Source organism: Homo sapiens, chromosome Y (assembly GCF_000001405.40).
Source record: "Homo sapiens chromosome Y, GRCh38.p14 Primary Assembly".
Classification (NCBI taxonomy): domain Eukaryota; kingdom Metazoa; phylum Chordata; class Mammalia; order Primates; family Hominidae; genus Homo; species Homo sapiens.
The window spans coordinates 24,194,990-24,216,435 of NC_000024.10; the positions used below are offsets into that span (position 1 = coordinate 24,194,990).

The window sequence follows — 21,446 nt, forward strand, 5'->3', positions numbered from 1 at the left end:
TTGGGTGGGGTGAAGAGGGTTCATGCTCCCTCACCCCGCAGAGCCTCTGGCTTATCACAGGATAAGAGCCAGCTAAGCTCCAGAGGCTTTCCAGGAAAAGTGTCTCTTGGAAAGAGTGTGACCTTTTCATTGGTCCTGACAGCACCCTAGAAATGGCTTGGTCTTCTCCCTCCCGTGAGCTCCACAGAGAACACAGCCAGCATAGGACACATTCCCTGTCATCCAGAAATGGGTTTGATTCTCAGCCAAGGGACAGCAGGACTGGTAGAGACTGTCAGGCCACACAGCTGCCTACACAGCACCCCCATGCTTGGTGGGGGGTGGGAGGGATGGCGGGGGCTGGCTGTCCACAGGCCGGGCATGACAGGGAGGCTCACTGGAAGTGGTGCACTTTGGAGGGGCAATGTCAGGGGAGAGCTTCCTCTTGTTGGGCCACAAGACTCCACAAGGACAGCACGGTGACTGATTCCCAGTGCTAGAGGCGAGGCAATCGGCCATGTGTAGGTGTATGTGTGTGTGTGTGTGTGTCTATATACACACACATATATGTGTATATATATATGAGGGTGTGTGTATGTGTGTGTATATATAAATTATTTATTTAGATGGAGTCTTGCTCTGTTGCCCAGGCTGGAGTGCAGTGGCACAATCTCGACTCACTGAAACCTCTGCCTCCTGGGTTCAAGCAATTCTCCTGCCTCAGCCTGCCGAGTAGCTGGGACTACAGTCACCTGCCACCACATCGGTCTAATTTTTGTATTTTTAGTAGAGATGAGGTTTCACCATATTGGCCAGGCTGGTCTCAAACGCCTGACCTTGTGATCTGCCTGCCTCAGCCTCCCAAAGTGCTGGGATTACAGGTGTGAGCCACAGCACCCAGCTATTTACAGATATTTATAGAATATGACCTCAACTATTTAAACATATCTGTAAGGGTATAAGTACTTTGATAACAAAGAAGCAATACATACTGATAGAAACTAGCTATCATGTCAACAGTGGTTATATTAGGTAGAGAAATTATGTGAGATTATTTTTTTTATATTTTACTAATCTTCTCAATAACGGTTGCTTATAAGTTTTATAATCAAGAAAAAAGGTTTCTAAAGTTTTTGCAAAATGGAAAGTTATGCCTCTTTATATACTAAACACAAAAACAAAACTTCCTATTTGAATACCTTTGACTTTTACTGCAGACTTACAGACCCTTGAAAGAAAAGGCAATTCCCTCCCACTAGTTCTGGTGTCATTCTCCCCATCTCTCCCTTCACTTCCACCTTGGTCTTTTTTCTACTTCCCACCTTGGCTAGTGGTCTCCACCCAAAATGCTTGCTTGGCTTAATGGTTAGAATTCAGGGAAAAAGAGATCCCTAATTGCTAATCTAAACTAAGATTATACAAGTGGGAAATAATAAAGAGAAACCAGGTAGTAAATAAGATTTGGAGGACTTAAAATACCCAGACTTTAATTCCTCTAAGTTTATAGTTTTTAATCATGTTTTTATATAATATTATCACTTAACATTTAATTTCTAAATATAATGTTTATGAGAAAAAGAGAAAATAGCTTGGTTTCTTTCCTCACCGAACTGCTGTTGTCCTTAGTATCTTCTAGACGTTCCAGAACTGATGTCAGATTTGGCTCATCAGAGTCCACAGACCTTATCGGTGAAGAAGATGAATAGGATTCCTGTTTAAACCAGAGACACCTATGTTAAATGTTTACATACAGACTAACCCAAATATGCGATTAAACCACACCACTAAATGGCAAGATGACCATGGATTGAAACAAAATGTATGGGGGAAAAGGCAACACATTAAAACCCATGTGAGGAGCTGGACTTCTGAGACAGCCATTCTCCTTGCATAGCACTGTCTGCTGCCACAGCTCATAGAAGTCAACAATTTTCTTTAAGAATGGTAGGCAGCCTCTAAATGGCCCTGATCACCATCACCTCCTGCCATTCACACCCTTGTAAAATTCCACCCCTGGACCTAGTGACTCGCTTCTAACAAAGAGAATACAGCAAAAGTAACATCACTTCTGAGGTGAGGCTACAAAGAGACTACGATGCCTGCCTTGGTCACCCTTCTCCTGCTCTTTCCATTGCTCCCTCTGATGGAAGCCAGTTGCCATGTGATGAGGTGCCCTATGGAGAGGCCCACATGACAAGGTATTGTGAAAGGCCTCTGACCAATAGCCATCTAGAAACAGAGGCCCAGTCCAGCAGCCTCTGAGATGAATCCTGCCAACCTGAGCTTGGAGACAGATTCTCTCCCTATCCTGCCTTGGGATGATCACAGCCACCACCAGCATCTTCACTGCCTGGTGAGAGACCAAGCCAGTGAACCCAAGGTAAACTAGACAGAATCCTGACCCACAGAAACTGAGATAATGTTTGTTATTTTAAGCTGCTAAATTTGTTACAGAGCAATAGATAACTAACTCAAACACCATAAAATTCTAATATTTTATTCTATCACACAAACCAAGTAATACCAACTAAATGCCATTACTATACATATATTTTTGTAACACAATTACATGTGATTTTTTTAAAAAGCTAATGAACTATGCATTATGTGCTTTCACCCACTAACAGACATTCCCGCTGTTACTCTGTACTGTTCTCTATTATAAATTGGGGAAAAACCATTATTATTATATATTAGCTTCAGAATAACTAGGTTCAAGTCACAGAAAACAATTTTGCACAAACAACTTTAGGCAACACTGCTTTGAAAACTGTAATCTGAATTAAAGCTGAAGCCACAGAAACCAAATATTTACTGAAGGTTCCTTTTTAAGAAAAACAAGATGGGCCGGGCACGGTGGCTCGCGCCTCTAATCTCAGCACTTTGGGAGGCCGAGGTGGGCGGATCACGAGGTCAGGAGATTGAGACCGTCCTGGCTAACACGGAGAAACCCCATCTCTACTAAAAAAATACAAAAAAAATTAGCTGGGCGCACTGGCGGGTGCCTGTAGTCCCAGCTACTCAGGAGGCTGAGGCAGAGGAATCACTTGAACCTGGGAGGCAGAGGTTTCAGTGGGCTGAGATGTCCACTGCACTCCAGGCTGGCGATAGAGCAAGACTCCATCTCAAAAAACAAAAAAAAAAAAAAGAAAAACAAGTTGTATTGGTGGAGGACATCATTAACAGTATATCTCTTCAATAATGGTTTATTTTACTATTCTCATTCTTCTCATTCCCCTCTTACTGTGTTCCAAATCTCTTTACAGGCTAAAAGAAACTCTTCAGAATTACTTCTATTCTTTTTTTTCTTTTTTTTTTTTTTTTTTTTTTTTTTTTGAGACCGAGTTTCGCTCTTGTTGCCCAGGCTGGAGTGCAGTGGCACGATCTCAGCTCATCACAACCTCCACCTCCCGGGTTCAAGCAATTCTCCTGACTCAGCCTTCCAGAGTAGCTGGGATTACAGGCATGTGCCATCATGCCCCACTAATTTTGTATTTTTAGTAGAGATGGGGTTTCTCCATGTTGGTCAGGCTGGTCTCGAACCCCTAATCTCAGATGATCCGCCCACCTCAGCCTCCCAAAGTGTTGGGATTACAGGCATGAGCCACCACACCCAGCCAATCCTATTCTTAAAGAACACCACTTACTGAGTATTGCATTTTCTTCTATAAATTCTTCAGCATACACTGAGAATACACCATATGGACTATTTTTACGCTTTTAATTTTGTTTTTTTTTTTTTCTTTTGGCTAAGGAAATTGCAATTAGATTTAGGACTTCATTCTGTTAGGTTAGTATTTGTCTAGTAAACTTCAGCATAAGCAAAATAAAATATGTGTTGTTGCTCTGGACTGAAACCCCTCAAAACCATATTTTAAAAATTACAAAAAAAAATTAACTGAAATCAAGTTTTTAAAAACCTTGTAGATGAAAAGATATGATATCTAGTACGTCTAAGTACCTTTTTCAATGGTTCCCAAAGTGCGGCCCTCAGACCCCCAAGTCCAAACTATTTTGACAGGAATACTAACATGGTGACATTTGCTGTAAGTGTGCAAATACAATGGTGGGTAAAAATGTTGGTACTTTAGCACAAACAAAGGCAGTAACACCAAACTACTAGTAGTCATGGTATTCTTCACTATGCACAGGAAAGGTTTAAAAAGGAAGGGCGGGTGGGGCATGGTGGCCTACGTCTGTAATCCCAGTGCTTTGGGAGGCTGAGGTAGACGGATCACCTAAGGTCAGGAGTTTGAGACCAGCTTGGCCAACATGGTGAAACCGCATGTCTACTAAAAATACAAAAATTAGCTCGGTGTGGTGGTGCATGCCTGTATTCCCAAATACTTAGGAGGCTGAGGCAGGAGAATCACTTGAACCTGGGAGGCAGAGGTTGCCTTGAGCTGAAATTGCACCTATGTAACTCCAGACTGGGCAACAGAGCAAAACTCCGTCTCCAGAAATAAAAATAAAAAGGAAGGGCAACAAAAGGTCAGTTTCATTTAAGAATGTCTATGATAAGGTTGGGAATTTTGGCTCATGTCTATAATTCCAGCACTTTGGAAGGCCCAGGCAGGGGGATCACTTGAGCCTGGGAGTTCAAGACCTGCATGGGCAACCTGGTGAAACCTCATCTCTACAAAAAATACAAAAATTAGCTGAACACAGTGGCTGCATGCCTGTAGTCCCAGCGTCTTGGAAGGCTGAGGCAGGAGGATTGACGGAACCCAGAAAGTTGAGGCTGCAGTGAGCTGTGATCATGCTACTGCACTCCAGCCTCGGTGACAGAACAAGGCCCTATCTCAAAAATTTAAAAAAAAAAGAATGTCTATGATGAAGCAGTGAATATTCTACTAAATCTAAATCCTTGAGTATATCTTTTTAATATTTCAAGTGATGAAATGGGAAGTATACATGAGCATTCCTACAGGCTGCCTGAGAAAAAAAACACTTGAGTGACTAAGTCATGAAGTTAATTAACCACTTTAATGGAATACCATTTTTACTTGAAAGGCTGACTGACAAAAAATGTTGTTTTAACTTGCATTTCTGGAAGATATTTTCTCAAAAAATGAGATGCTGTCATTTCAAGGAAAACAACAGACAGGCTATAATAAAATTCAATAACAAAATTACTAATAAAATTCAAGCTTTTGAAGAAAAAATCAGAATTTTAGAAAACCTATGTCCACCATTGCTTTCCGAAAGTATTCTGATGAGATTGATGGTGGTATTGATGAATGTATTTCGATACTGTACAATCAAATGTATCAATATGTAGAAGATCTTATTGAACCACTATTTTATAAGTAACCAATGCACGATGTTGTAATATCATGCAAGGGTGGAAGATCCAAAGTTCAAGAAAAACGAAGATTTGATGGAGTATCAAAAAAGAAGCCTAGGCAACATGGCAAAACCCTGTCTCTACAAAAAATACAAAAAGTTAGCCAAGTGTGGTGGTACACACCTGTAGTCCCAGCTACTCTGGAGGCTGAGGTGGGAGGATCACCTGAGTCCCCGGAGACTGAGGCTGCAGTGAGCTGTGATCACACGACTACCTTCCAGCCTGGGCAACAGGACAAGACCTCATCTCAAAAAATATATATATATCCACAATGATCTAAAATGGTTATCTGTATGAGATTGGCCTTTGTTCACATTTTTTTCAAGAAAATATCACACAATAAATTGAATGCAGAAGCAAACTGACATATCAATTTGCTAATGACATGTCAAACATCATGCAAATGACATATCAAACATCAAAAAAATTTGCAAAAGATGTAAGACTGTACTACTTTGGGTTTAGAAATTTTCTTTTCATAAAAGCATTTATAACAATATGTGGTGAGCTTTTAAAGAATATTTTAAATATTTCTGATTTAATTTCTAGTGATAAATACAAATAGATATACCCTACATAAACCAAAGCTCCTTGGGCCCTCAATGTATTTTTAAGAGTGTAAAGGAATACTGACCCAAAAACTTGGAGAACTGCTGCCTTCCCCTCCACTTTCTTCCTTCCCTAGAATCTCTTCCTTGGAAGAAACATCCCTTTGCCATTCTATATTAACTTACATAGTTCCACTGAGGCAAGTTTTGCTACCTCCCTCCCATCTTTCCACCTCTCTTTCAACACAAAGCCTGACCAAAGGATTCTACCAGCCCACCCCATTTCCAGTGATTAGCTGTCAGGTGGGCTAAGCCAAACAAATCTGGGTTTTCCCTGAGACTAGACCTCTCTTTCTGGGAGAGATGGAATCACAGGGACAAGGTTGGCCACCTTGGGGTAGTGAGAATTCATCCTGCCTAAACAGGGAGAATTCAAACAAGTTTCTCGAAATCCAAACTACTTTCTAGAAAGTCAAAGATAATTATATTTTTTGCCATGACTGTAAGAATGCCCATTTCATTGCACACTTTCTAACATTTTTACCAATCTGATAAATAAAAGCTGGTACTGAGATGAAAAAAAGGCTGGGCACAATGGCTCACACCTGTATTCCCAACACTTTGGGAGGCTGAAGTGGGCAAATCACCTGAGGTCAGGAGTTCAAGACCAGCCTGGCCAACATGGTGAAACTCCGTCTCTACTAAAAATACAAAAATTAGCCAGGCATGGTGGCATGCACCTGTAATCTCAGCTACTCGGGAGGCTGAGGCAGGAGAATTGCTTGAACCTAGGAGGTGGAGGTTGCAGTGAGATCACGCCATTGCACTCCAGCCTGGGCGACAAGAACAAGACTTCATCTCAAAAAAAAAAAAAAAAAAGAAAAAAAAGTTCCCATACAATATAATTTCTTCCATCTCTGGAAACAAATTCAGCAATGAGAACTGAAAGTCACCACGTGGAAGGTTTCAAGGATTTAGGTCTACCTACTCATGTCTAAAGCATTAGTTAAGTTACAAAAAAATACGCACACACAAGTGCACGCACACACACACATACCCGTATGCATTCAGTACCAGAAAACATGACTGACTACATGGTACAGTCATCCAACAGAAAGCACACAATAACTGAAGGCAATGTAGAGGAGTAAATTATAACATGGATCTACAATACTGTTGAGTGAAAAAGCAGATTACAAACAAATATCTGATTTTTAAGGGAGAGGAAACATATACAAGCACAGGAGAAAAGAGCAGATGACTGGAAAGATACAAATTTCTGACAGTGGCACCTGCTGAGTGGTAGAATTACATAGGTAGTATTTTCTAGTTTTGCCTAAAAGTTTTCTAAATTTCTTAAAATAAGAAGGTTTTGTTGTTCATATTACAAAATATCCATCACCCCAGGAAATTTAACCTTCGGCACAAACTCTACAACATGTTCAAAGTTTGTTCAGTTTAATATTTAAGAGACAATCTATTTTGAAAGACATTTAAAATGACCAATATTTAAACCTATGCATTAATATTTTTCAATCACGTTTTAAATTTTGTAATTTTGATAAGTTTTAGATCCATCTTGAAAAGATAAATTTTCTGTTTGTCTTTAAAATATTACCTACAATATGCCTGTTTTTAAACAGTTAATGGTGCTCAAAAATCACAATATAAATTCAGGCAGTGTTCCTTATATAGAATGTGTAAGTGCTTCTAATACTGCTCTTTTTCACCAGTTATGAAAACACAGAACAATTATCTAAGCATCTAATTATTCAGGTCCTTTGTTTCTCCTCCATTCTGCTGGTTTTATACTAATTTCAAGGCCTGTGAGGATGAAGTTGTCTGTGACAGCTACCACAAAGGTTACTATAAGCAGACAAATTTCCAGCAAGTTTATCACCACTACCATCCCCACCATAAAACGGTCTCAAGCAAGGGCAACACAATTGAAGGTTAGTCAAGACAACCTCTTTACCTGTCACTGCTTAAGAAAAGGATTTTTTGGTCTTATTTAGAAATAACTTTATCTATTTTTCTCCATAATTCCACCGAGACCAATGTGTGCCTCTATCTCAAGCACCAGCAAGCAAAACTGCCTGCCAGTATGTTCAGTTTTTGTATCTTTCCAAATGTAGGGCACAGCTATCTTTTGATATCATAATTTTTTGAAAACTGATGCACAAACTTCTTCTTGAAAGTTCAGCCAGGTGCAGTAGCTCACACCTGTAATCTCAGCACTTTGGGAGGCTGAGGCAGGCAGATCACGAGGTCAGGAATTCAAGACCAGCCTGGCCAACATGGTGAAACCTGTCTCTACTAAAGCTACAAAAATTAGCCAGGTGCGGTGGCAGGTGCCTGTAATCCCAGCTACTCAGGAGGCTGAGGCAGGAGAATTGCTTGAACCTGGGAAGCAGAGGTTCCAGTAAGCCAAGATTGCACCACTGTACTCCAGCTTGGGTAATAGAGTGAGACTCCATCTCAAAATAAAAAATAAAAAAAAGAATTTCAGATATAAAGCAGTTGTAATTCTTCTGAAGGCTGCTTATGGGACACATTACTTTCATACTTTGCTGTTCAATAAATGTGGGGTGGAGAATAAAGTAAATTGAAAGAATTACCATATAAAATAAAATTCGAAGTCCTCTGACAACAAAAGAAACTTAAAACACACACACACACACACACACACACACAGAGCTTTCCCTGCTAATCATTTTACAACAACCAAGTAGCTAACCCAGAGCCCACAAAAGCAGAGTAAAAATTCTAACACTCGGTAAAATAAAAATGCACATATATCCCTGTCATCTAAAAAAAAAATGCTTAAGTATTCAAAGACAGAAAGCAATTGTAGCTACTGAGAACATCATTGTAAGCAAACTGAGGCAGAGAAAACTACCGTGCTGATGAGGATTGGAAACACCTAAGCTGCAGAAACCCACTGGATGGTTTCCTAGGTTCTGAGTTGGCATTATCTTTCAGAATGATCTTCTAGAAGAGATCACATAACACTGTTACAAAGGATCTGGAGAAAGGGACCCTGGCTTCATCACTCTGGCTCTCCAGTCATGCTTTACATTTTCACTTCTTACACTCTCTTTCATAGGAAGTCAATTTACAGGCTTCCATCAAGCCCTTAGAGACCTTTTTGTACTATCCATGACAAGTTCTTGATGTTATGTCTGCACTTTTGACAAATTCTTAGCAGTTAACTTACAAGGCAGTTAAGATTTTTTTTCAAGCACAATATAGGTAGAATAGGCTCATACATCCAATAAAACAAATATTTACTAAGCATTTATTGAGTGGAAGATAAAAAGCACAAAGCATAATTATAAAACATTCTCCCCTGCCACCATAAAAATTTTTTTAAAGCCTTACAGAATACAGCATAACATAACCAAAGCAAAAATAGTGAGGACTAAAGAGGGGAGGAAGGGGAAATATCAGCATGAATTAAATATGACCCAGAAGAGCCTTGATGGTCAGACACGTAAAGACAAATTGGGTAGGGTTAGCGGGTGGCTGTCAGGGGCACATTCTACAGGGGAAAAACAGCTGATACAGAAGCCTGAAAGGAAAAGCGGGCAGAGCACCTGGACAGGACTCTTACCTGCTGCATCCAGGGTACAATGCGCCTTTCCAGAACACAGCAGCGACCCGGGATAGAGGGATCGCTCAAACAGCACCAGAGGCTGCATTCCAACTTTTCCTCCATCAACGAGTCCGTTTTCATTGTTAGTTTCTCCTTAAACACGATTGGCTGAACATGCGGGAACAAGGAAAACCTGACTGAAGAACGAGGCATTTAAGCTTAAGGGCCTTGGATCCGGGCGCGGTGGCTCAGGCCTGTAATCCCAGAACTCTGGGCGGCAGAGATGGGTCATTTGAGGTCAGGAGTTCGAGACCAGCCTGGCCAACATGATGAAACCCCGTCTCTACTAAACAACACAAAAGTTAGCCAGGCGTGGTGGCGGGCGCCCGTAATCCCAGCTACTCGGGAAGCTGAGGCAGGAGAATCGCTTGAACCCACGGACTGTCAAGAGATGGAGGCTGCAGTATGCCGAGATCGCCCCACTGCACTCCAGCCTGGGCGACAGAGTGAGGCTCCATCTCAAGAAGCTCCTGCCACCATGCCCGGCTAATTTTTGTATTTTTAGTAGAGACAGGGTTTTACCATGTTGGCCAGGCTGGTCTAGAACTCCTGACCTCAGGAGATCCAGCTACCTCAGTCTCCCATAGTGCTGGGATTACAGGAATGAGCACTGCACCCGGCCAAAAAAACGAAAATCTTAAAGGCCTTTCCCCTTCCCTCACTGGGCTCAAACAACAGCGGGAGCCACCCTGCCACGCCCCGTCGCGGTCCAGGGGAGCAGGCTAGCTGACTGAGGGCGATCATGGGCCCCAAAAGGGCTGCGGGCGACGCGGGCTCCCACCTCAGGGCGCAGCGACTGGGGCGAGAGGTGCCAGCAGCCCCCAAGCCAGCCCCGTGGCAAGGAGCCAGAGAGACGCGCCCTCCCCCTCCTCCCACGCAAGCCTCACGCAGCGGGGCGGGCCAGTCGCGGGAGAAAGGGGCGCGCTCGCCCCGCCTGGGGAACCGGGGCCTCTCCCGGGCAGGCTCCCCTTTGTCCCGGGACTCTGGGCGCCTCCTCTCCGCCCTCGCCCTGCCCCGTGAGGCCGCCACTGGGCGCCTCAACGTGATGTTGCAGTGGAGCATGAGCTGCGGCAGCGGCTCCTGGTTCTTGTGGAAGATAGAGTCCAACAACTTCAGCTTGGCCTTGAACCCTCACACGGACATTTTATTCTCACCTCTGGCAGGTGGGGCGCGAAGGTGAGCCCGTCGGGAGCCGCTGTGACGGCCGCAACCACCCGCGGGACCTCTCGGCGGTGCTCTCCCAGCTCCGCCTCTCCCTGCTGCCTCAACTCTAGTCACAGTAGGGCTGGAAAATGGCAAGGGGCACCAAGGCCTCTGCGGGGAGCTGTGTGGAGGCCTGGGCGGCTGCTCCCCTTCTAACAGACTCCACCGACAGGAGGCGCTGCTCCTGTCAAGCCGCAGCTTAAAAGGGCAACAGCACCACAGCCCCCGCTACCGCCTGGGAAAGGGCTGCCCCCAGCCTGCTCCCGTCCCTCTCGCCCCTCACACCCGTCACCCCTCACCCCTCAAACCGCGCGCCCCCTGCGCACCCGTTTCGGCGGCTGCAGGAGTCCAGAGCATGCGCCCGCTTCCGGCTGCCCCCTCCTCGCCTTGACCCAGCACTGTTGGACCCATCTGGTCCGTTCTTCACACTCGCGGACTGGAGGCTCCGGGCAGCACAACCACCAACCCGTGTGTGTGTTGGGGTGGGGGTGGAGGCAGAAAACCACCAACTCGTGTGTGTGTGTGTGTGTGTGTGTGTGTGTGTGTGTGTGTGTGTGTTTCCCAAGGGAACAGCACTGCTGAGTTCAGGCTATCTGCTCATGGACTGTCAGCAAAATACAGTCACAAGAAGGCTATGTGCTGTTTTGTCTCTTGCAGTGATGTCATGTTGCTCATGTTTTATGTTTTTCAGAGTTCATTAGTTTCTGTTTGCTCTCAGTTAATATCCAGCTCAATAGATTGTGTAAGTAGAATACCCCCAAACTGAAAGTCACCTACATAAAATATAGTGAAAAATATGTCACCCACTTACACTATAGTTGAAAATATGTACCCATTAGTTTTGTGTAGCCAACACTGGATAATGGGTAAGGGCAAAGGATCCCAGGGCTAGACTGCCTGGGTTCAAGTTCTGATTTCCTGCTGGCTGTGAAATACTTAACAGCGTTCAGCCTCTGTTTCTTTTCTTTTCTTTTTTTTTTGTTTAGCTTAATCCCAAATGTGATAGTAAGTCTCAGTTTCTTGATCTGAAAAACAGAAATTATTCAATGACAGTCTATGTGAAAACTTTAAAGTTTTCAAAGCCACTATCTAGCTTAGGAAAGTCCTCAGCTTTAGGGGTTAAAGTTTTTAAAACCACTGCCTGGTTCAGGAAAGCCCTCAGCTGTAGCCATTATTAGCTATGATGATTATTGTGCTGGCTACACATGCATTAATGAGGCAGGAAAATGCTGAAGGATAACAACCAAGTATCCAGATTATCTCATCAGACCGAGACAGATGCATATGAGTGCATGATCATGTTTTAGCTCAGATCCATTTGTCTAAAAGGCTCTTGAACCCAGGAGTATCAACTTTGCTTTGCAGTGGAGCCATCGCTTTTGTTAATCAATGAAATTGACATAACGATCTTCTTTTTTTTTCCTTTTTAGCACCAACCATGTGCCTAGAGCTAACTGTGTTAAGAACAGCATGCTTCAAGTGGCTGGAGTGAGCAATTCAACTTGTGGAGGAATGAGAAGTGATAGTGTTGAGACAAGCAACATAAAACCCGAGCGTAAGGTAGAAATCGCTGAAAGTCAGGCAAAGGAACTGGCATCCAGTAATAAGTCAGGCTTTGCCAGCCTCTAGCCCTACAGATGGCTCTTTGCAGAGGAAAAAATTAATCCAGGCCCAAGGGCACAGATCCTAAGGGAATGCTAGCAGCTCTAGGCTGTCTATGAGAGTCCAGAGATGCTGCTTCACCCTGGGGCTTTAGGCAAGTCCCTTTCCCTCCCAGAGCCTCAGCATCCCTTCTAGCAAATGACGTTCTGCCTTTCTCCTAGGATGGCTGTGGGGATCAAGGGAGACAGTGGCCATAGGGATACTATGTTAACTGCAGATGTGGCCGTAGGAGCACTTTGCTAACTGCCAACATGAGTTCAGACTCTTCAGGCTATTTGGCACCCAGGTCTATGGTGAGGTGTGACATATGGGATGCAAAGTTTGATGCCTGCTCCGACTCCAGTCTTGCTAACACACACGAAACCTTTGGCAAATCATGACCCTGCCTTGGGGAAAAGGGCAGTCTGGGAGAGTTTCTTCAAGGCAGCCTGGCTTCAATGCAGTCCGGGGCATGACTGAGATAGGCATACGTTGTGAGGAACTGGAGGGTAACTGGGTAAAGAGCTGCAGTGTGGGCAGAAGTGTAGTGTGGGTCACATTGAGGATAGCCACTGGCCAAAGCAGGGAACAGAGACAGAATGAGGAAGAGCTCTGTGGGGAGGGTGGGGCACCGGGTGGAGAACCTTCAAAGTCCAAAGAGTATGACTTTTTGGGATTCAATGCTGTAGGCAGTAGGGAGCCATGGAAGGCTCTTAGGTGGAGAAATGACAGCCGGACATTAGTGAGCAAGCCCTGTCTCCCTGAGCAGCATGGGTGGTCCTCTGAGCACGCCAGGCACGAGTGTGCAGGGAGCTGGTGCACATGCCTCTGTGTGCGGGTGAGCATCTGTGTTGTGACTCTGCCCACGCATGTACTTCAGTGTGCCGAGTGGCTGCACGCCCCAGATCCATGCAGCACGTGCCGGCCGGTGAGGGTGCTGGGCACCGGGAGGTGGTGGGGAGGGCGACGTATGCGTGTTGTTTGTGGGCATGTGTGTTAGCGTGTGCATGCGGGCCGTGGGGCCTCACAGCATGTGTGTGCACACTCCGGCGTGTGCGTGTGTGTCCCCCACCCCCAGGCCTGCCCCTTCCTTCTGGAGCTGCAGACTTGCTCTTTCCTTTTTCTGTCCTTGTGCTGCTGGCTGTCTCACTTCCCTCCTTGTGAGCCATGGGACTCAGTGCCACTGCTCAAGGTCTCCATGGCTGAGCCTGGGGGCTCCATGCCCAACCTGGCAGACATGGAACCATCAGAGAGGGCACAGAGCTCATGGTTTATGGTGTAGGGGCTGGGAGCTTCGAGGGGGTTGTGTGAGGGGCTGGACTCAGGCGGCCAGAGACCTGGGAACATCATACTGGGCATGCCGTACCTGTCGTGTGGTCTGAGTCATGCTGCCAGGGCAGGGATCCAGCTCCCAGCCTGGGAGTGCTGAGAGCCAAATCCACTGCAGATTAGGGGTGGTAGTCAGGGTCCCACATCCTCTATTTGTCAGCAATTCAGTGGTGATCTAGGATAAAAGCCTGAGAGTCCTATACACATGGTCATCCCACAACACACTTCATAGGCCATGGAAGGACACACAGCCCCCTTCCCTCCCTACCAGGTACCATGATAGCTGCTAGCATGCGACTGAAGGCAGGGACCCTGGCCCCTGCTGAAGCACTACTGCTGGCCAGCAGGCTCATGCACCTTGGCCTGTTGCTTCTAGGGTTCGCCTGTGCTATTCAGCCAAGGGGACCACAGTGCATGCTGGCCCAGCTGAGCTCCGCCTAGAGAGCTCACTTCCCTTTCCTGCCATGGAGTCTTCCTCTTCTGCTTTTCCCAGCAGGAAGGGCCCAGCCTCACCTATGCAACCTGCAGCCCTCCACCAACCAGTTGAGGCTCCCCTGTTAGACTTAGAAGTCTATGGCCAATGGCATCAAGCTACCTGCGCTTCCTGCCTTCCCCTGGGTCCCTCAGAAGACCCTGGGCTTTCAGACGGCCCAGAGGGGCCTCTGGTACTCACTCCAGCCAGCCATCCCTTATAGCTTCACCATTTTGGTTCAAGCAGTGTTCCTTCTGTCAGGCTTGGTGGCTGTTGGGTGGGGCTCCCCAAGCAAGAGGTGGCCCTGGGCCAGTGGGTTGGAAGATGGTGACCAGAGAAGACGGAACCCTGAGGGGGTTGAGCATTGGTCTGAACTGTGGGTGGACTGCCTGGGTGCTGTGACAGCACCCTCCCTGTCCTCTCCTGGTGCAGCCTCCACGCTATCAGTGAGGCTCACCTCACAAAGATCTTCAGAGAGAGGGAGGGGAGTGGGAATCTGAGCACAGTGCGAGCCTCCCCTGTTCCTGCCTGCCCACCCCGCCTGAGGGCTCTACTCACCACCCTGCTTGTCAGCACACCCAAGCTCCTGGGCGATTGGGGCTCCTAGAGTGGGCTTATCAGCAGTGTTCTGGGCAATGGTCAGAATTTGCCATGCTGCTCATTGTGGTCGCCCACAAGCTGCAACACCTGCCCCTGCAGCTCCAGCAGGTTCACCTGGAGGAAGGGGTGTTAGCTGTCATGCCGGTGCCAGCACCGACATTCACTCCCACCCCCACAGAGATGTTGCACACCCTACCTTCATCTCCTCCTGGTCCTGGGCCAGCCTGACGATGTCCTCCTCTCCCAGTGCTGCGTCTTTGGCACTGCCCCCTGGCTGATGTACTTTCCTGCAGGAGGACACGGCTCAGATGCTGGGGCCCCTCAGATGGCCCTGCAGCTCCCCCTGCCATGCCCTGGCCTCTCGTTTACTCATGGTGTCTGTCTGTCCTGAGAGGTGGATGAACTGAAGCTCTAGTTTCTCCACCAGCTCCTTCAGGTCCATCTTCTCCTTCCATAAAGTTGCTGTGGAGCCAAAATAATGGGGTCACATGTCAGGAGTCACCTGCCTTGTCCCGACCCCACCCTTGTTGGCCCATGCCAGGACTACTCACCTGCAGCTTCTCCATGGCCTCCTGCAGGGCCCAGTGGGTGTCCCCACACACAGATTCACCCCCAGTCTCTGGGGCTGGGGCCGCTGCCTCTGGCTTTTTCTGGGATGAGGCCACTGGGTGAGCCAGGGGCTGGCAGCACACGCTTTGCTCCTCCTGGGCACTGGCTCCAGCGGAGTTGAAAAATGCCACCTGAAGGCAAGAGGTGAGTACTCTTGTAGGGGTATACACATAACAACCAGGGCAGGGAGATGGAGCACAGCCCCTTCCTTTTGGGCCTCACAGAGTGCACCTGTTGGTCACAGGTGAAATGGTGTCTGACCACTGGCTCCCGGAAGGAGAGAAAGTCCACAGAAGTCAGAAGGCAGGGAAACCAAGAACATAAGGGGGTTTCAGAGGGACTACAGAGGAAGGTGGCAAAGTAGGGGCAGGGAAAGTCAGGCTCACCATGGCCTCCCGGCTCTCCAGGTCCCCTGGAATGTTCAGCATGGGCCGAGGTGCCTCCTCCTCATTGTCCAGATGTCCTCCTCCATATCCTGTGGGAGGTGGCCAGAGGGGTCCTCAGACAACCCAACAAGGGAGGTACAGTGGGCCCACCTCTGCCCCTACACTCACTGTGTAACCTTGAGCCAGCCCCTCCCCAGAGGGGAATGCGCTGTTCTTTATTTTTAAGAACCAAAATCTTGCTATATTGCCCAGGCACAGTCCCACTACCGACTGGTGCAGGAATTCTGACCTGCTCCCTTTCTGACCTGGGCCAGTTCTCCCATCCTTAGGCAACCCGATGGCCCCGCTCCCAGGAGGTCACCATACTGATACCGAACTTAGTACGGACACCCAGTTGGCATAATGACCAGCTGTCTTAAAGGTCTCTTCCAACTCCTCAATCCTACGCTGCTAACAGTCCCCCTTTCCTCCTGGGGCTCTCTCCTCTTCCTCTGAGTGGTCTCCCATACCTTCCCCAGGGAGAGCCATGAGGCTCAACTGGGCTTTAGCTGCTGTTTCTGCTGGCTGGTAGCTTCCAGGTTCTCCTAAGGGGCCAGGAAAGAGGGTGAGAAGGTACAGAGGTTGCCAGGTTGTCCCTCTTGGAGCCCTGTCCTCAACAACTCCCTCCCCTGGGTCTCCTGCAACTTTTGGTGGGCCATCTTAGCCACCGCTTTGCCCTGAGCTTCCTCCTGCTGCAGCTGGTCCATGAGCCAGGTCTGCAGCAGTAACTGCCTGTGCAGCACCTCCTTCTCAGAGGCCAGCTGCTGATAAGCAGCCACCTGCTACTAAGCGACCACGAACTGCTGCAGGTGACACAGGTACTGGTCTTGCTGCTGCTGTGGACTCTGAGCCTCTTGGCTCTTCAGCTCCACGTGCAGGAAGACGCTGGGCATGAGGGCATGTGGTGGCTGGCTTCCAGATTCCTGGCCCATTAATAGGGTAGCAAGGACACTGTGGGGCTCTGTGGCCTGCTCAGTCCCCTGGCCCCTTGCTCCAGGCCTACGAGACTGCCTCCTTTGCCTAGAACCCCATGCCTCCTTCCACAGCCTCAAATCTCATGTCTTTTTTCCCAGCATTTAAACTGTAGGCGACAGACTGGTGGAAAAGCAGGGGGAGCCAACCACCATCTGCTAAGTGTGCCACATACCTAATGTTTCCACGTATCATCTCATTTAATCCTCAGCACCTCCACAAGGAAAAGGCTAACTTCCTTTTGAAGTTAAACAGAGACTTAGAGATGCAAAGTAGTTGAATTATGACCAGTGGAACCGAGGCCGCAATCCACTTTCAATCTAAGGAGTCTGGTTTTTCTGTTTTGTTTTGTTTTGAGACAGTGTCACTCTGTGTCTCAGGCTAGAATGCAGTGCTGAAATCTCAGCTCACTGCAATCTTCACCTCCCGGGCTCAAGTGATTCTCGTGTCTCAGTCTCCTGAGTAGCTGGGATTACAGGCATGCACCACCAGGTCCACTAATTATTATTATTATTTTTTTAATTTTAGTAGAGATGAGGTTTTGCCATGTTGGCCATGCTGATCTCAAATTCCTGACCTCAAGTAATTGTCCCACCTCAGCCTCCCAAAGTGCTGGGATTACAGGTGTGAGCCACCACACCTCACCAAGGAGCCTCTTATACCACTGTCTCTTCCTCTGTGATTGGGGGGCTCCATGCCTCTAGCTGGGATGATGATGTCCAGACCTGGGAGGAGCCCAGGGCTACCCACCTCTAAACGTCAGAGGGCAGGAAGCAAGAAACAGTCATAGGACTACCCTGGAGGGTGCTGGGGTCACCTGTCCTCAGGCTGCAGCTGCCTCTGTCTTGGCACCTCCCCTTCCCAGAGGCTGGTGACTGCCTCCCAACCATTATTAGATGGGTCAGAGGTTACCGTCTCTTTCAGCTCACCAAGCTTCAGCTCCTTTACTTGCCGCTCCAACTGCAGTGCACTCTTGTTCTCATTATTCTGGACAGAGAGAAGCAATCAGTGGCCACCCACTAAAACTGGAGACCCCAGAACTTGGTGTCTGCCTCCCATGGCACCAGGAAGGGTGGAGGCAGGTTAGAAAAATCATACCCTCTCCCACAGCCATCAGAGCAGGGCTCTGGCTCACAGGTGCCTTTAGAAGTACCATTTCATATGAAGGCCACAATGCCCCATTTTACAGGTGGGGAAACAAAGGCCTTGAGGGCTAGGGAAGAGGGCAGCCTCCCCACCTTGAGGGCTAGGGAAGAGGGCAGCCTCCCCAGGTGGGGCAACACACCAGCTCCTCAAAGCTGCTGTGGGGCTCGGCCTGCTGCTTGTAGAGGGCTTCCCACTCCAGCTCCAGCATCCTCTCCAGCTCCCACAGAGTCTCCTGCTGCCACAGCCTCTCATCCTGCTCCTGAAGCCTCTCCTGTTCCAGCAGCTCCTACCCCTTGTCCAGCAGCCTCTCCTGTTCCTGCAGCCTCTCCTCCTGTCTCCTGTTCAGGAGACTCAACATCTGATTGTTTTCCACCTCAGCCTGGAGCTGTCTTCCCACACTCTCCAGCTCCTTCCTTAGGTGGTTGGTCTCATCTTGTAGCTGCTCCACCTCAGAGGGCCCTGCTGGGGGCTCTGGGGCCAGGGGTTCAGCTGAGAAAGGAAGCAGACAATAAGGGCCTCTGGACTCTCAAAAAAAAAAAAAAAAAAAAAACCTCCCTTTGTTGGACAGCTCCTCCTCTCAGGCTTCCCAAACTTGGCCTCACTGCTAATGACTCCTCACACCCGGATGGTAGCCAATCTTCAAAGTCACTTTCAGATAGAGAGCACTGTGGGTGGCTGACAATGGGCACTCCTCCCTCTTTACTGATAGGGACACTGAGGTTCATGGAGATGACAAGACTTGCCATCTCCTGGCACAGACCTCTTTCCCTCTGCCTCAAAGCCCTTCCATCCACCCTCCTCCCTGGGGCATTCTAAGTCACCCTCACAGCCCTCTGATGCCAGTCCTGCTCCTAGGTCATGCCAGTCCCATCTTAACCATCTGGTTTTTGAGTTTGAACAAGTTCCTCCCAAGCTTCTGTACCCAATGTATCTCATGCTGCTTCCCCTCTTTCAATGCGTGGACCTGCCCAAAGCACAGAGGGGAAAGGGCCCTGGAGAGGGGCTGCTGAACCTCTAGAGACAGAGTTTGAGAAAGTCCCACCCCCCTTCTGCCACCTTGTGATTGAGAAAGGTGCATTCATTCAACAAACATTTACTGAGCACGTACAATTCTTCATAGCAGAGATATAAGACAGCAAAGGACAGACAGGAGCCCTTGGCCCTGAGGTTTCCATTCTAGGGGCCTTTAAATCTCAGAGCTAACAGTGACCTTTGATACTCTCTACCTCCTCCAGAAACATGAGCCTAAGGAGGAGAGATGGCTTGTCCAGACTCAAAAAGCAAATTAGGGGCTGAGGCAGGGCAGAAATACGGGCCTCTGACAACCAGTCAGGCTAGTGCTTCCCTGAGAGATGACAACCCCAGGGCATGTGTGGCAACAACTAGAGCAAGGGTGTCTGGAGAAGAGAGAGTCAGCAAAGAGGGCAGTGCAGAAGAGCCATGCTGCATGTTCTGTGCTCTGGGGTCCCTCCAGGTGAGGCCTGGGTGCCCCAGCTCCCCATTTGCCCTTGGCATCAGGGGCTCCTGGCCCCTTTCTTCAGGGCACCAAGGGAAAACTGGAGTCCAGGATTGACCAGCTGGAATCAGGGGACCCCACTGGACTCTTACCAGTGAATTGATGTTTTCACTGAGTTGACTGATTATTGCGGAGCTTGAGTGCAGGGCCACTGCTAGTTCTCGGTACTGGCTGTGAGGTGCATGCAGAGAGGAGGAGTTGGAGGAAGATTGTGGGGAGGGGTAGAGAGAACAATCATTAGGGCTGGTGGAGGGTGTGGGTTGTCTCAGCTGGCAGAGGGGCAACAAGCCCCTGCTGTGGGAGGAGGTTGGAGGGCTGGCCTGCAGGGTCACTGCACCTCAGCCCAGGGCCTCTTACCTCCAGATCCTCCAGGGTAGCAGATGATGCATGGCCTTCCCCGTAGATACCTGTTGCTGACTGCAAGAGATGAGAGTGCACATGGAGATGTTCTGTCCCCCCTCACTGTCTAAGCCCTCTGATTTCCTTTCTTCCCCATCAACTGGCAAAAGCTTCTTTTCTGCCTATCTTGGACCCTTTGTCCCATAACTCCTTTGTGCCAACTTCTCTCATGGTTCTTATCTCCCCACCATCCCACCCTGGGGCCCTTTCAGTGACTCCTAAAGGGACAGCCTGATGGCAAGTGTCTCTTCTCATTAACTGGCTTCCCCTTGAGACTGGGGATGAGGAAAATCAAACAACAACCATTTCCTGGGTGTCCTGGGTGTTTACAGCAGGCCATGTACTAAGGATTCACATATAAGCAATAACAAATCTGATTTAAACTTCACAAATGGAAGTCAAAAATACCACCTCTATTATGCAGATGTGAAAACAGAGACCCAAAGACCTCAAGCAACTTGCCCTAAATCATATGCTAATCAATCCCTAATCAATCATTAGCAGACGGAGAGGCAGGATTCAAACCCAGAATTCTTAACCAGTACCCAATAGTCCATCTACAATCTTAAAAATTACCCCCTACTGCCCCTTAGGCCCCCTGTCCCCAGGACCCTGGCCAGCCAAGACTCACATCCCCAGGTGAGTGGTAACCACCAGAAGTGGCTGTGTCAGGGCTACTGCCATTGATTTTCTTTTTCCTGTTAGCTCCTGCTGGAATGCCAGGGCTCTTCCTCTGCCAATATTCTTTTAACTGTGGGAAAGAAGAGCAGCAACACTCATGAGAACAATCAGCCCCTATAGCCACATCCTGCTTTACAGTTTTGACAAAATACTCTTATACACCATCTGGTTTAATGCCACCAACAACTGTACAAGATGTTGTCACAATCATTTAGTGACTGAGAGTGATTGATATCATGGATAGAAAAAAAAAAAGAAGGAAAGAAAAAGGCAATACTGGAACTTAAACTCAGTCTTCTGACTCCAAGCTCTGGGGTTTTGCCATGAATCAGCAGCTTCCAGGGACCAAAACCAGGGACAGTGGTAGAAAAGTAAACATTAAGCAGGCAGGAACTGTAGGCCGTGTAGTTTAGAGTCATACATCCTCACATGTCTGTTAGTGTAAAGAAGTGCACGAGTACCTCTCACACTTTCATATCAATGTGTCCTCATGGCAGAAGGCAGCTTTTCTGTTAAATCTGGGAATTTATCAGAAAGAGGACAACCCAAGCCTCATTTTAGAGAGAAGTCTGCTATACGCTTGGAAACCTATGTGTCTATCATCCCTAAGAACATTAATGTTTATTAAACTCTCAATAAACATTAATGTTCTTAGGGATGATAGACACATAGGTTTCCAAGCGTATACCAGACTTCTCTCTGAAATGAGGCAAAAGCAATGGCAACAAAAGCCAAAATTGACAAATGGGATCTAATTAAACGAAAGAGCTTCAGCACAGCAAAAGAAACTACCATCAGAGTGAACAGGCAACCTACAAAATGGGAGAAAATTTTTGCAACCTACTCATCTGACAAAGGGCTAATATCCAGAATCTACAATGAACTCAAACAAATTTACAAGAAAAAAACAACCCCATCAAAAAA

At 47.6% G+C, this 21,446-nt stretch overlaps 3 pseudogenes across 1 annotated transcript; all 3 read right to left on the reverse strand.

Moving 5' to 3' along the window:
• Window positions 10,475-11,080, reverse strand: CHRFAM7AP2 (CHRFAM7A pseudogene 2; annotated as a pseudogene).
• GOLGA2P2Y (GOLGA2 pseudogene 2 Y-linked) lies at window positions 14,978-19,842 on the reverse strand (annotated as a pseudogene). Its single transcript, NR_001555.2, has 9 exons — window positions 19,800-19,842; window positions 19,535-19,613; window positions 18,064-18,415; window positions 17,710-17,767; window positions 16,279-16,353; window positions 15,770-15,858; window positions 15,326-15,514; window positions 15,144-15,236; window positions 14,978-15,061 (listed from the first exon to the last, which is right to left on the reverse strand). The product of NR_001555.2 is annotated as a GOLGA2 pseudogene 2 Y-linked (transcript).
• Window positions 15,969-16,227, reverse strand: RN7SL818P (RNA, 7SL, cytoplasmic 818, pseudogene; annotated as a pseudogene).